The sequence below is a fragment of the Homo sapiens genome, chromosome 7 (assembly GCF_000001405.40).
Source record: "Homo sapiens chromosome 7, GRCh38.p14 Primary Assembly".
NCBI classification, from domain to species: domain Eukaryota; kingdom Metazoa; phylum Chordata; class Mammalia; order Primates; family Hominidae; genus Homo; species Homo sapiens.
The window spans coordinates 23,532,213-23,545,419 of NC_000007.14; the positions used below are offsets into that span (position 1 = coordinate 23,532,213).

The window sequence follows — 13,207 nt, forward strand, 5'->3', positions numbered from 1 at the left end:
AAGACTTTTCAGTCGCCAGATGAGCCTTATATGACCTTAGCCCCTTTAAATATTGTCCAAGTGGATTCTGATGTAAGGGAACAAAACATTGGAAGCGTTTTTTTATGTTTGTTTATTTTTTGAGTCAGGGTCTCGCTCTGTCACCCAAGCTGAAGTGCAGTGAAGCGATCACTGCTCACCACAGCCTCAAACTCCCGGGCTCAGACGATCCTCCCACCTCAGGCTCCCGCGCGCGCCACCACGCCCGGCTAATTTTTTTCTTTTTTGGGACGGAGTCTCACTCTGTTGCCCAGGCTGAAGTGCAGTGGCGCTATCTAGGTTCATTGCAACCTCCACCTCGCAGGTTCAAGCAATTCTCCTGCCTCAGCCTCCCCAGTAGCTGGGATTACAGGCATGCACCACCACGCCCGGCTAATTTTTGTATTTTTAGCAGAGACGGGGGTTTCACCATGTTGGACAGGCTGGTCTCAAACTCCTGACCTCAGGTGATTTGCCCGCCTGGGCCTCTCAAAGTGCTGAGATTGCAAGGGTGAACCACCGTACCCGGCCCACCCGGCTAATTTTTGTGTGTTTTGCAGAGATGGGGTTTTGACATGCTGCCCAGGCTGGTCTCGAATTTGTGGACTCAAGCGATCTGCTCGCCTCGGCCTCCCAAAGTGCTGAGATTACAGGCCTGAGCCACCGCGCCCGGCTGGAATCGTGTATATATAACAGGCTTTTGGGGGGCACGTTGTCAGCTGACTGTATTACTTTTCTTCCATATTTGCCCTGTGTAATGTCGACGTAGTACATGCACAGATGAGGTTATGATGCAAAGCCGCTGCTCCTTGCCTCGTGTCCCTGCTCCAGTTCCCCCTCCTAGAGACAGCCGTGTAGTTTTTTTTTTATAATGCTTAGCTCCCTACTAGTTTTTTTGACTTAGATATTTCCATAAAGCTTCACAGTGAAGACCTCCCAAATCTGTCAACTTGGTTCCCAATCATAGTAATAATCTCTGAGATGAGTTTTACTTGTGTAATGCAACTTTAAAAATTAGTTTCATCTTAAATTTTTTTCCTACAGTGCTTTGTAGTAAAAAGATTGACATAGACTTTCAACTATAGTTCTATGGTAGGAAAGTTCATCTGGCATTATTATGAAGATTGCTACCACTGGGGGCAAGATTTCAGCATTTGAATGTCAGTTATTGATAGGGATAAACTTAAATGACATCTGGCTCTTAGAAAAGATGTTGAACTTGGCTGGGTGTGGTGGCTGACGCCTGTAATCCCAGTACTTTGGAGACCCTAGGCGGAAGATCGCTTGAGGCCAGAAGTTCGAAACCAGCCTGGTCAACATGGTGAGCCCCCATCTCTACAAAAGAAATTATTATTATTATTATTGAGACGGAGACTTGCTCTGTCACCCAGGCTGGAGTGCAGTGGCGCGATCTCGGCTCACTGCAACCTCCACCTCCGGGTTCAAGTGATTCTCCTGGCTCAGCTTCCCGAGTAGCTGGGATTACAGTGCGTGCCACCACACCCGGCTAATTTTTGTATTTTTCGTAGAGATGGGGTTTCACCATGTTGGCCAGCGTGGGCTGGAACTTGTGACTTCAGATGATCTGCCCGCCTCAGCCTCCCAAAGTGCTGGGATTACAGACGTGAGCTGCCACGCCCAGCCAGGTTGATACCATTTGAACCACTGATCAATCTTAGTACCATTAAAAGTGAGATAACCAGATACGAGATACCTCATGATGTGATGCAATAGAAAATACCCAGTTCCTCCTGTGAAGTATTCCTGATCCCTCAAATTGAACTCAAATCTAATTAAACCTTAGATCTAGCCAACAGTTTACAGGAAATACAAGAAAGGGAAAAATAAAAACACCGAGATGAAGTAATCAACTTCCACAGGACAAATAACCACATTCCCCAACAGATTAAATTCACAATCAAGGATGGGAGAAAGGTAGACTATTATGGACTAAGAGTCTTCCCCCCTACCCTTTTTTCCTTTTATTTATTTTTTGGAGACATAATCTGACTCTGTCACCCAGGCTGGAGTGCAGTGGCACAATCATGGCTCCAACGATCCTCCCACCACACCCTCTCACATAGCTGGGACTACAGGCCCCCAACACCATGCCCAGCTAATTTTTAAATTATTGTAGAGACCAGGTTTTGCCATGTTGCCCAGGCTGCTCTCAAACTCCTGGGCTCAAGTGATCCTGCCGCCTAGGCCTCCCAAAGTGTTGAGGAACCAGGCCGGGCCTAGAAGAGTAGTTTCTTTTTTCTTTGCCTTTTTTTTTGAGACAGAGTTTCACTCCCGTGCCCAGGCTGGAGTACAGTGGCACAGTCTTGGCTCACTGCAACCTCTGTCTCTCGGGCTCTAGAGATTATTCTGCCTTAGCCTCCCCAGTAGCTGAGACCACAGGTGCATGCCACTGTGCTCGGCTAATTTTTGTATTTTTTTGTAGAGACGGGGTTTTGATGTTGGCCAGGCTAGTCTCTAACTCCTGGCCTCGAGTGATCCACCCACCTCGGCCTCCCAAAGTGCCGGGATGATAGGAGATATTTGCTTTATGAGTTATAATCCATTGCTATCATTATTTATTTTGTTGCTTGAATTGTCCCAGATTTCAGTTATAAACTTTTGATATGTTTAAACATATATATAATGTCCTTTTTTCGGAATTGTCTATTTTCCATTTTTCTTTTTTTTTTTTTCCGAGACGGAGTTTCACTCTTGTTGCCCAGGCTGGAGTGCAATGGCACGATCTCAGCTCACTGCAACCTCCGCCTCCCGGGTTAAAGCGATTCTCCTGCCTCAGCCTCTCGAGTAGCTGGGATTACAGGCATGCGCCAGCACGTCTGGCTAATTTTGTATTTTTAGTAGAGACGGGGTTTCTCCAGGTTGGTCCGGCTGGTCTCGAACTCCCGACCTCAGGTGATCCGCCCACCTCGGCCTCCCAAAGTGCTGGGATTACAGGTGTGAGCCACTGTGCCCGGCCTATTTTCCATTTTTCTATTGGATTTTTATCCTTTGTCCCTCAAGTTTTATGAGTTCCTTGTATATTAGGAATATTAGCCTTTTATTTGTGCTTTATGTTGCAAATATTTTCTCCTAGTTTGTAAATTGTATTTGACTTTGCTTATGGTATATTTTGCATACTATTTTTTGATTTTTTAATTTAATTAATTAATTTTACTATGGCAATAAAAGATTCCCAAATTAGCATACTTTTTTTTTTTGAGACTGAATTTTGCTCTTGTTGCCCAGGCTGGAGTGCAATGGCTCATTCTCGGCTCACTGCAACCTCCGCCTCCCAAGTAGCTGGGCTTACAGGCATGCACCACCACACCCAGCTAATTTTTGTATTTTTTAGTAGAGATGGGTTTTCACCATGTTGGCCAGGCTGGTCTTGAACTCCTGACTTCAGGTGATCCACCCACCTTGGCCTCCCAAAGTGCTGGGATTACAGGCGTGAGCCACTGTGCCTGGCCACTATTTTTTTTTTTTTTTTGAAATGGAATCTTGCCCTGTCGCCCAGGCTGGAGTGTAATGGCGCAATCTCGCCTCACTGCAACCTCCACCTCCAGGTTCAAGCGATTCTCCTGCCTCAGCCTCCTGAGCTGGGATTACAGGTGAGGACCACCACGTCCGGCTAATTTTTGTATTTTTAGTAGAGATGGGGTTTCACCGTATTGGTCAGGCTGGTCTCAAACTCCTGACCTCGTGATCCGCATGCCTCGGCCTCCCAAAGTGTTGGGATTACAGGTGTGAGCCAGTGCACCCGGCTGCCCCTGGATTTTAAGTCATAGTTAGCCTTTTCCCATACTGAGATTAAAGAGGAATTCACTATGTTTTCTTCTAGTAGTTATGTAGCTTCATATTTTACATTTAGATTCGTGATCCATTTGGCATTTGTTCTTATGTATGATGTGGACTATAGATCTAATTTTACCTTTTCCAAATGGCTACCCAGTGATCCCAGCATTAAAAAGCCCATCTTTGCTTTTTAGATGTCACCTTTGTTATACACTACATTTTCTTACGGAGTTGAGTCTATTTCTGGGTTTTCTGTTTCCCTGGTCATACACCAGTGCCACACTGTTTTAATATAGAGGCTTTCAAATTTTTGTTTGTTTTTTTATTGTTTGAGATGGAGTCTCGCTCTGTCAGCAGGCTGGAGTGCAGTGGCACAATCTTGACTCACTGCAACCTCTGCCTCCCTGGTTCAAGCGATCCTCCTGCCTTAGCCTCCCAAGTAGCTGAGACTACAGGCACTCACCACCATGCCCAGCTAATTTTTTGTATTTTTAGTAGAGACAGGGTTTCACCATGTTGGTCAGGCTGGTCTTGATCTCTTGACTTCATGATCCACCCACCTCGGCCTCCCAAAGTTCTGGGATTACAGGCGTGAGCCACCACGCCCAGCCAGGCTTTCAAATTTTTATGTCTGATTGGGCAAGTCCCCCTTCCTATATATTTTTAAGTAAGTCTCATTGCTTAATAGCCACAATTCATTTTAAAAATCTTTTTTATTTTGTTTTATTTATTTTCGAGACAAGTTCTCACTCCGTTGCCCAGGCTGATTCTCCCACCTTAGCTTCCAGAGTAGCTGAGACTACAGGCATGTGCCACCACACCCACCTAATTTTTTTTTCTTTCTCTTTTTCTTTTTTTTTTTGAGAGGGAGTTTTGCTCTTGTTGCCCAGGCTGGAGTGAAATGGGGTGATCTCGGCTTACTGCAACCTCTACCTCCCAGGTTCAAGCAATTCTCCTGCCTCAGCCTCCTGAGTAGCTGGAATTATAGGCATGCGCCACAACTCCCAGCTAATTTTTTTGGTACTTTTAGTAGAAACGGGGTTTCTCTATGTTGGTCAGGCTGGTCTCGACCTCCTGACCTCAGGTGATCTGCCCACCTCAGCCTCCCAAAGTGCTGGGATTACAGGCGTGAGCCACCATGCCCAACTTTTTTTTTTATTTTTTAAGCAGAGATGAGGTCTCACCATGTTACTCAGGCCGGGTCTTGAATTCCTGAGCTCAAGTGATCCTCCTGCCTTGGCTTCCCAAAGTGCTGGGATTACAGGTGTGAGCCACCATGCCCAGCTTTTTTTTAAAATTTTTTAAGCAGAGATGAGGTCTCACCATGTTACTCATGCTGGGTCTTGAATTCCTGAGCTCAAGTGATCCTCCTGCCTTGGCTTCCCAAAGTGCTGGGATTACAGGTGTGAGCAACCGTGCCTGGCTCCTTGGGAGAAATTGAAAATGTGAGTGTGTGAAGTATCTTTCCTCTCCCAAAACCCAATCTCTCACTTTTGGCATGTGAGGAGTGTTTGGGTATTTGAGGCTAACTCTCCTTATTCATGTCTTACTGGGAGTTTAGGAGAGGATCCTGCATGAGGAGCAATATTAGAAATAGGAGGTGTCTCCAGTTCCCTCATTTTATATGCAGAAAGAAAGACTCAGAAACAGAAAGTCATTTGCACCTTTATGCAATGACATAAAGACATAAACCTTTATGCAATGCAGAGAGAGAGATGGACATTGGGTACGGTGTACACTGCTCGGGTATTGGATGCATAAAAATATCAGAAATCACCACTAAAGAACTTATCCAAGTAACCAAAAACCACCTGTTCCCCAAAAACTATATAAATAAAAAATTTGAAAAAACTATTAGAAAAAGAGAGAGAGATGGAAACAAGCTTATAGATAATGTAATTACTTGGTTTTACAGAAGCAGAAGTCACAAGTTGCCCACCCAAAGTCATGTGGCAGTAATAATACCATTGAGTCCTCACCATGCTTCAGGCACTGGGCTATTTTATTTGTTTGTTTATTTATTTATTTTGAGACAGAGTCTTGCTCTGTCACCGAGGGTGGAGTGTAGTGGCGCCATCTCAGCTCACTGCAACCTTGGCCTACTGGGTTCAGGTGGTTCTCCTGCCTCAGATTACAGGCACCCACCACCACGCCTGGCTAATTTTTGTATTTTTAGTATAGACGGGGTTTCGCCATGTTGGCCAGGCTGGTCTTGAACTCCTGACCTCAGGTGATCCACCCGCCTCTGCCTCCCAAAGTGCTGGGATTGCAGGCATGAGCCACTGCCCCTGGCCTGGGCTACGTATTCTAAATAGTTTGTCTTATGTATTACAACAACCTAAAGATTAGATAATATTATTGCCTCCATTTTTTTTCCATTTATTTATTTATTTAGAGATGGGGTCTTTCTATGTTGCCCAGTCTGGAGTGTGGTGGCTATTCACAGGTGCAATCATAGCAAACTGAAGCATGGAACTCCTGGGCTCAACTGATCCTCTTGCTTCAGCCTCCCAAGTAGCTGGGACTACAGGTGTGTACCAAGTGGCACAATTGCCTCCATTTTATAGATTTTTTTTTTTTTGAGTTGGAGTCTTGCTCTGTTGCCCAGGCTGGAGTGCAGTGGTTCACTGTGATCATGGCTCACTGCAAGCTCCGACACCCGGGTTCACACCATGCTCCTGCCTCAGCCTCCCGAGTAGCTGGGACTACAGGTGCCTGCCACCACGCCTGGCTATTTTTTTTTTTTTTTAGACAGAGTCTTGCACTGTCGCCCAGGATGGAATGCAGTGGCATGATCTCGGCTCACCAAAAGCTCTGCCTCCTAGGTTCATGCCATTCTCCTGCCTCAGCTTCCCGAGTAGCTGGGACTACAGGCGCCCGCCACCACGCCCAGCTAATTTTTTGTATTTTTAGTAGAGACGGGGTTTCACCGTGTTAGCCAGGATGGTCTTGATCTCTTGACCTCGTGATCCGCCCGCCTTGGCCTCCCAAAGTGCTGGGATTACAGGCGTGAGCCACCACGCCTGGCCACGCCCGGCTAATGTTTTGTATTTTTAGGAGAGATGGGGTTTCACCGTGCTAGTCAGGATGGTCTCGATCTCCTGATCTCGTGATCTGCCCGCCTCAGCCTCCCAAAGTGCTGGAATTACAGGCATGAGCTACCGCACCCAGCCATTTTATAGATTTTTAAAGCTGAGGCGGAGAGTAGTAAAGCAACTTGCCCAGGTGAGTCAGACAGCTGGCACAAAGCAGAACTGGGGATTAAACTTGGGTAGATTAACACTCTTAACCATTAGGCTCCTGTGCCTCCCAGCAAGCCACTGGCATTACAGATAAAGAGCTCAAATGAGCAGACCTAAGTTTAGTCTCCAGTCACTCAAAAATTACTTGTTTTAACCAAGAACTGAAGTGCTGATATTGTACAAACTCTTGCATGAAAGTAAAAACAGATACACTGAACAGTTTATATTAATGATTTCACGATGCACCAGGCCAAGCCAAGAAGGTAATTGTCTCACAGTGGTAGTTTTTTTTTTTTCAACGTATACAGCTTGAGCTTTTGCTTTAAACATGTGCACATCTGCACATGTGCATTTCTTCCTTTTGACCAGCAAGCAGAGAGATACCTCCACACCACCTGAATATCCATTTGCCCATCAACCATTCAGTGGGTTCGGCATCCATTGAAAAATCTTTGCCTGAATCAGCCATGCTATTCAAAATGTGGACTTTCCAACTCTATCTTGTCCCTATATTCACCAGCTGGCAATCTTCTAGTAAATAGTTTCGTTTTTCTTTGTTTTGTTTCTTGCCCACTTCCTCTCTCTGCTCAATAGTGTTTTTTTTTCTTTTCTTTTCTTTTTAAAGAGCTTTCTCCATCAACTACAGGTTATTTGACTATTTTGAAATACAGTTCCATCGCTTCTCAGCCTTTTAGCTAGGATCACATGCAAAATATAGTTCCTACTGGAAATGATAAATGCTTAATTATTTCCTTTAATTGCCAATTTCAGAATAAGGTGTTTGTAAAACAGCTCCAAAGGTGGAATATGAAGCTTTTCGATGATATAACTGAAAGGGATTTTCACTTAGAGTCCCTTTCCACTTACATACTGTGGTGTTATGATATTCTTGTACCCATTTTCGTCCAGGTTCCTGGCTGATAACTCCCCATAGGCCTTGTTACAGTCTTTTGTTATAATGTTAGGTGTGTTAGGCTTCTTGCAGGCCTCAGGCCTCTTTGACCTTCTCCTCTACTCCTTTCACTTGACCCAAGGCAGGACTCAATACTATTCCCCTGCCTTTCTGATTGTGGGTCATAAGACCCTCATTCCAGAGAGGCCAATCACATTTCCAAATAATTGTCCATAAAAACCCAGGAGGACTGGGTTCACAGAGTTTTCAGATAGCTAATACTTGGAGGTTCCTGGAGGGTGGCTTGCCCAGGGAGGGCATGGAAGCTCCACACCCCTTCCCCCATACCATATATTTTGTAATGTTTCTTTGAGTTTTGTGAGCTGCTCCAGCAAATTTATTAAACCCAAAGTGGTGGATGTGGGAATGCCCAAAGCACTAGGGTTATAGGCATGAGCTATCTCTTCTTTTTAATATTATTACTGTTATTTTTTGAGACAGAGTCTGGCTCTGTCTCCCAGGCTGGAGTGCAGTGGCACAGTCTCTGCTAACTGCAACTTCTCCTCCTGGGTTCAAGTTATTCTCGTGCCTCAGCCTCCCGAGTAGCTGGGATTACAGGCGCCTGCCACCATGCCCAACTAATGTTTGTATTTTTGGTAGAGACAGGGTTTCGCCATGTTGGCCAGGCTGGTGTCAAACTCCTGACCTCTAGTGACCCACCCCTGGCCTCGGCCTCTCAAAGTGCTGAGATTACAGGCATGAGCTGTTGTGCTCGGCCAAAAATATATTTTGTGGCCTCCCCAGTACCTCAAGCCTGTAATCTCAGCACTTTGCAAAGCTGAGGTGGGAGGACTGCTTGAGCCCAGGAGTTTGAGACCTGGGCAACAAAGTGGGACCCTGTCTCTAAAAAATTTAAAAAATTAGCTAGGTGTGGTGGTGCATGCCTGTGTCCCCACTACACAGGAGGCTGAGGCAGAAGGATCACTTGAGCACAGGAGGTCAAGGCTGCAGTGAGCAGTATTTGTGCCACTGCACTTCAGCCTGGGTGACAGAGCAAGACACTGTCTTAAAAGAAAAAAAACAACCAACCAACAAACATTTTATCACCTCAAGCACTCAGAGTAGAACACAACAAAATTAACCCATAGCATTTAGCCAGTTCTTAGGAACTAGATCTCAACACTGAAAGAGAGAAAGATCAACCACATTCAAAGAGAAGATAGGTAAATTAGAACATCAAAATTTACAACTTTTGTGCATTAAAGGATAATATCAACAGAGAGAAAAAACAATCCACTGAAAAGGAGAAATATTTAGAAATCATATGTCTAATAAGGGTCTAGTATTTAGAGTAAATAAATAACGCTTACAGTTTAAGAAAAAACAAGCGGCTTGGCGCAGTGGCTCACGCCTGTAATCCCAGCACTTTGGGAGGCTGAGGCGGGCAGATCACAACGTCAGGAGATCGAGACCATCCTGGCTAACATGGTGAAACCCTGTCTCTACTAAAAATACACAAAAATTAGCCGGGCATGGTGGCGGGCACCTGTAGTCCCAGCTACTCAGGAGGCTGAAGCAGGAGAATGGCGTGAACCCGGGAGGCGGAGACTGCAGTGAGCCTTGATCGCGCCACTGCACTCCAGCCTGGGCGACAGAGCAAGATTCCGTCTCAAAAAAAGAAAAGCAAAAACAAGCCTGGGCAACATAGTGAGACCCCTTCTCTATTAAAAAATTTACTTATTAATTATTTATTATATTATTATTTATTTTATTTTTTATAGAGACAGGGTCTTACTATATTTCTCAGGCTAATCTCAAACTTCTGGCCTGAAGTGATCCTCCTATCTTCGCCTCCCAAAGTGCTGTGATTACAGTCATGAGCCACCATACCCAGGCTATATCTCTTCCGTAGGGAGAAATCTACTGAAGTCCTTTGTTCATTTTCTAATTGTTGGTTTTTTTTTTCATTTTTTATTTAATTTTAAAAAATTGTTAGCTTTTGTTGCTGTAAAATTTTTTTTTCTTAGTTTCTTGTTTTGTTTTTGTTTTTTGGTGTTTTGGGGGCACAGGGGCTTGCTCTGTCACCTCATAGCCCACTGCAGCCTACAACTCCTGGCCTCAAGCAATCCTCCCACCTCAGCCTCCCAAAGTGCTAGAATTATATATATATATATTTTTGTAATTAGCTGGGTATGTTGGTGTGGGTCTATAATCCTAGCTACTGTGGGAGGCTGAGGTAGGGGGATGGCTTGGGCCCAGGAATTGGAGGCTGCAGTGAGCTACAGTGGCAGCACTGCACTCCAGCCTGGGTGACAGAAGGAGACCCTGTCTCTAAAAAAAAAAAAAAAGCAAGATGATATATAAATGGCAAATGAACATATGAAAAGATGCTCAACACCATGAGTCTTAGAGAAATGCAAATTAAAACCACAATGAGATACCACTTTACACCTACTAAGATGGCTACTATAACGTTGAAAAAAGAACAATCAATGACAGGTATTGAAAAGGATATGGAGAAATTGGAATCTTCATACACTGCTAGTGGGAATGTAAACTGGTGCACCTTCTCTGGAAAGCAGATGGGCAGTTCCTCAAAAACTTAAACAGAGAATTACTGTATGACCCAGCAATCCCATTCCTAGGTATATACCGAAGGGAAACATATGTTTGTTCACATGAAAACTTGTATGCAAATGTATATAGCAGCATTGTTCATGATAGCCAAAAAGTTGAAATATTTCAAATGTTTATCAGTTGATGCATGGATAAAAAACTGTGGTATGTCCATACAATGAAATACTATTTAGTCATAAAAAGGAATGAAATACTGTTACATGGTCCATCATGGATGAACCTTGAAAACATTATGCCAAGCGAAGGAAGCCAGACACAAAAGGCTATACATTGGGAGCTTCTGGATAGTGCGTGAAGGTTCCTGGAGGGTGGTGCACCTGGAGAGGGCATAGAAGCTTCCAGCTCCTTCTCACATGTCTTATCCTATGTATCTTGTCATCTGTATCCTCTGTAATATCCTTTATAATAAGCTGGTAAATGGGACCAGCTGGATAAGCAAGGGCCCTCTAGTTTCATCTCCAAACACAATGTGGGCCACTTCATATTGTGCTGCCTCACCACCAGTTAGTACGATGGGCGTAGCACCTGCTCCTCCCACCTGTACAACTAGGACTCTGGCCCTATCTAGGAGGATGGAGTTCTAAAAAATTAGGAACAATTGAAGGAGCAATGAAGCTTGAGCCAAGAACTTCAAGTTAAAAAAAAAAAAGGCCACATTTTGTTTTTGTTTTGAGACAGGGTCTCGCTTTGTAGTCCAGGCTGGAGTGCAGTGGCGTGATCTCGGCTCACTGCAACCTTAGCAGCTGGTCCCATTTACCAGTTTATTATAAAGGATATTACAAAGGATACAGATGACAAGATACATAGGATAGGACATGTGGGAAGGGGCTAGAAGCTTCTATGCCCTCTCCAGGTGCACCACCCTCCAGGAACCTTCACACGCTATCCAGAAGCTTCCAATGCATGGCCTTTTGGGTCTTACTCAGTTGCCCAGGCTGGAGTGCAGTGGTGCACTCTCAGCTCACTGCAACCTCCGCCTCCTGGGTTCAAGCGATTCTCCTGCCTCAGCCTCCGGAGTAGCTGGGATTACAGGCACCTGCCACCACGCCCTGCTAATTTTTGTGTTTTTTAGTAGAGACAGGATTTCACCATGTTGGCCAGACTGGTTTTGACCTCCTGACCTCAGGTGATCCGCCTGCCTTGGCCTCCCAAAGTGCTGGGATTACAGGCATGAGCCACTGCACCCAGCCAGTATGGAAACTTCTAAAGAAATTAAAAATAGAATTACCAGATAGCCCAGCAATCCCTTTGCTGGGTATACATAGCCAAAGGAAATGAAATCACCACCTAGTAAAGATATCTGCATTCCCATGTTCATTGCCATGTTCACTGCAGTACTATTAACAATAGCCAGGCCCGGTGTGGTGGCTCACGCCTGTAATTCCAGCACTTTGGGAGGTTAAGGCGGGTGGATCACCTGAGATCAGGAGTTCGAGACCAGCCTGGACAACATGGTGAAACCCTGTCTCTATTAAAAATATAAAAAAAAAAAAAAAAAACAGCCAGGTGTGGTGGTGGGCGCCTGTAATCCCAGCTACTCAGGAGGCTGAGGCAGGAGAATTGGTTGAACCTGGGAGGTGGAGGTTGCAGTGAACTGAGATAGTGCCATTGCACTCCAGCCTGAGTGACAATAAAAAACTCCATCTCAAAAAAAAAAAAAAGCCAAGATTTGGAAACCACCTAGGTGTCCATCAATAGATGAATGGATAAAGAAACTGAAACTGTGAGATAGACACACACACACACACACACACACACACACACACACAGTGGAATACTATTCAGCTATAGAAAAGGAGATCCTGCCATTTGCCACAACACAGATGAAACTAGAGGGCACTATATTAAGTGAAATAAGCCAGATACATAAAGAAAAGTACTGCATGATCTCACTACTTATATGTGGAATCTAAAAAAAGGAAAGAAAAAAAAAGCAACTTCAGGAGCAGAGGTACCCTTGCAGAGCAGAGAGAAAATTCACAGTATCTTTAAACACCTTGGTAGGACTGACTTTGGTCTGTCAGTCGCCAAAATGATACCATCTGGGGAGTGTAGAAAAGACCTCTCTGCTTAATTTATTCTCAACTTTTCCACTTTACTGAGACTCGTGGTTAATCATCAGCAAACCCCCCTGGTGTCCTCTATCTCCTCTTTAAATAGTTCATTCACCTTGCTGTAGCTCAGAGATTCTCACCTGGAAGCAATTTTTCCTACCTCCCCAGAGGACATTTGGCAACGTTTGGAGGTATTTTTAGCTGTCACAACTGGAGATGGTGCTACTGACATCTAGTGGGTAGAGGCCAGGGATGCTGTTAAACACCTTACAAGGACAATGTACAGGATGGCCCCTCACAGCAAAGGATTATCAGACCCAGATGGCAATGGCCAAATTGAGAAACCCTGACTCTTTTCTGTAGGCACTACTTCCTCTTTAGCCCTCTCAGATCATCTGTGTTTTCTCATACCACTGGGTTTGGAGGCGGAGTGGGAGTCTTTTTCCTTTCTTATTGCTGCTTGCAAACAATTCTCCCTCCCCAAATCCTTAAAAAAGCCCAGCTTAACTTTGAATTTTACATCATCAGACATTATCACCCACTACCTCTCCTTACTGCAGTCATCTACA

At 44.7% G+C, this 13,207-nt stretch overlaps 5 annotated features.

Annotated features, from left to right (window-relative positions):
- Nucleotides 6-507: an enhancer, noted in NCBI's record as "H3K4me1 hESC enhancer chr7:23571837-23572338 (GRCh37/hg19 assembly coordinates)". NCBI's record gives its function as "activates a minimal SCP1, AML or CMV promoter by ChIP-STARR-seq in primed H9 embryonic stem cells {active_cell/tissue: H9 hESC(primed)}" and the evidence as "EXISTENCE:reporter gene assay evidence [ECO:0000049][PMID:30033119]".
- Nucleotides 29-148: an enhancer, noted in NCBI's record as "active region_25735". NCBI's record gives its function as "activates an Ori minimal core promoter by ATAC-STARR-seq in GM12878 lymphoblastoid cells {active_cell/tissue: GM12878}" and the evidence as "EXISTENCE:reporter gene assay evidence [ECO:0000049][PMID:35858748]".
- Nucleotides 508-1,007: an enhancer, noted in NCBI's record as "H3K4me1 hESC enhancer chr7:23572339-23572838 (GRCh37/hg19 assembly coordinates)". NCBI's record gives its function as "activates a minimal SCP1, AML or CMV promoter by ChIP-STARR-seq in primed H9 embryonic stem cells {active_cell/tissue: H9 hESC(primed)}" and the evidence as "EXISTENCE:reporter gene assay evidence [ECO:0000049][PMID:30033119]".
- Nucleotides 7,503-7,692: an enhancer, noted in NCBI's record as "active region_25736". NCBI's record gives its function as "activates an Ori minimal core promoter by ATAC-STARR-seq in GM12878 lymphoblastoid cells {active_cell/tissue: GM12878}" and the evidence as "EXISTENCE:reporter gene assay evidence [ECO:0000049][PMID:35858748]".
- Nucleotides 12,753-12,802: an enhancer, noted in NCBI's record as "active region_25737". NCBI's record gives its function as "activates an Ori minimal core promoter by ATAC-STARR-seq in GM12878 lymphoblastoid cells {active_cell/tissue: GM12878}" and the evidence as "EXISTENCE:reporter gene assay evidence [ECO:0000049][PMID:35858748]".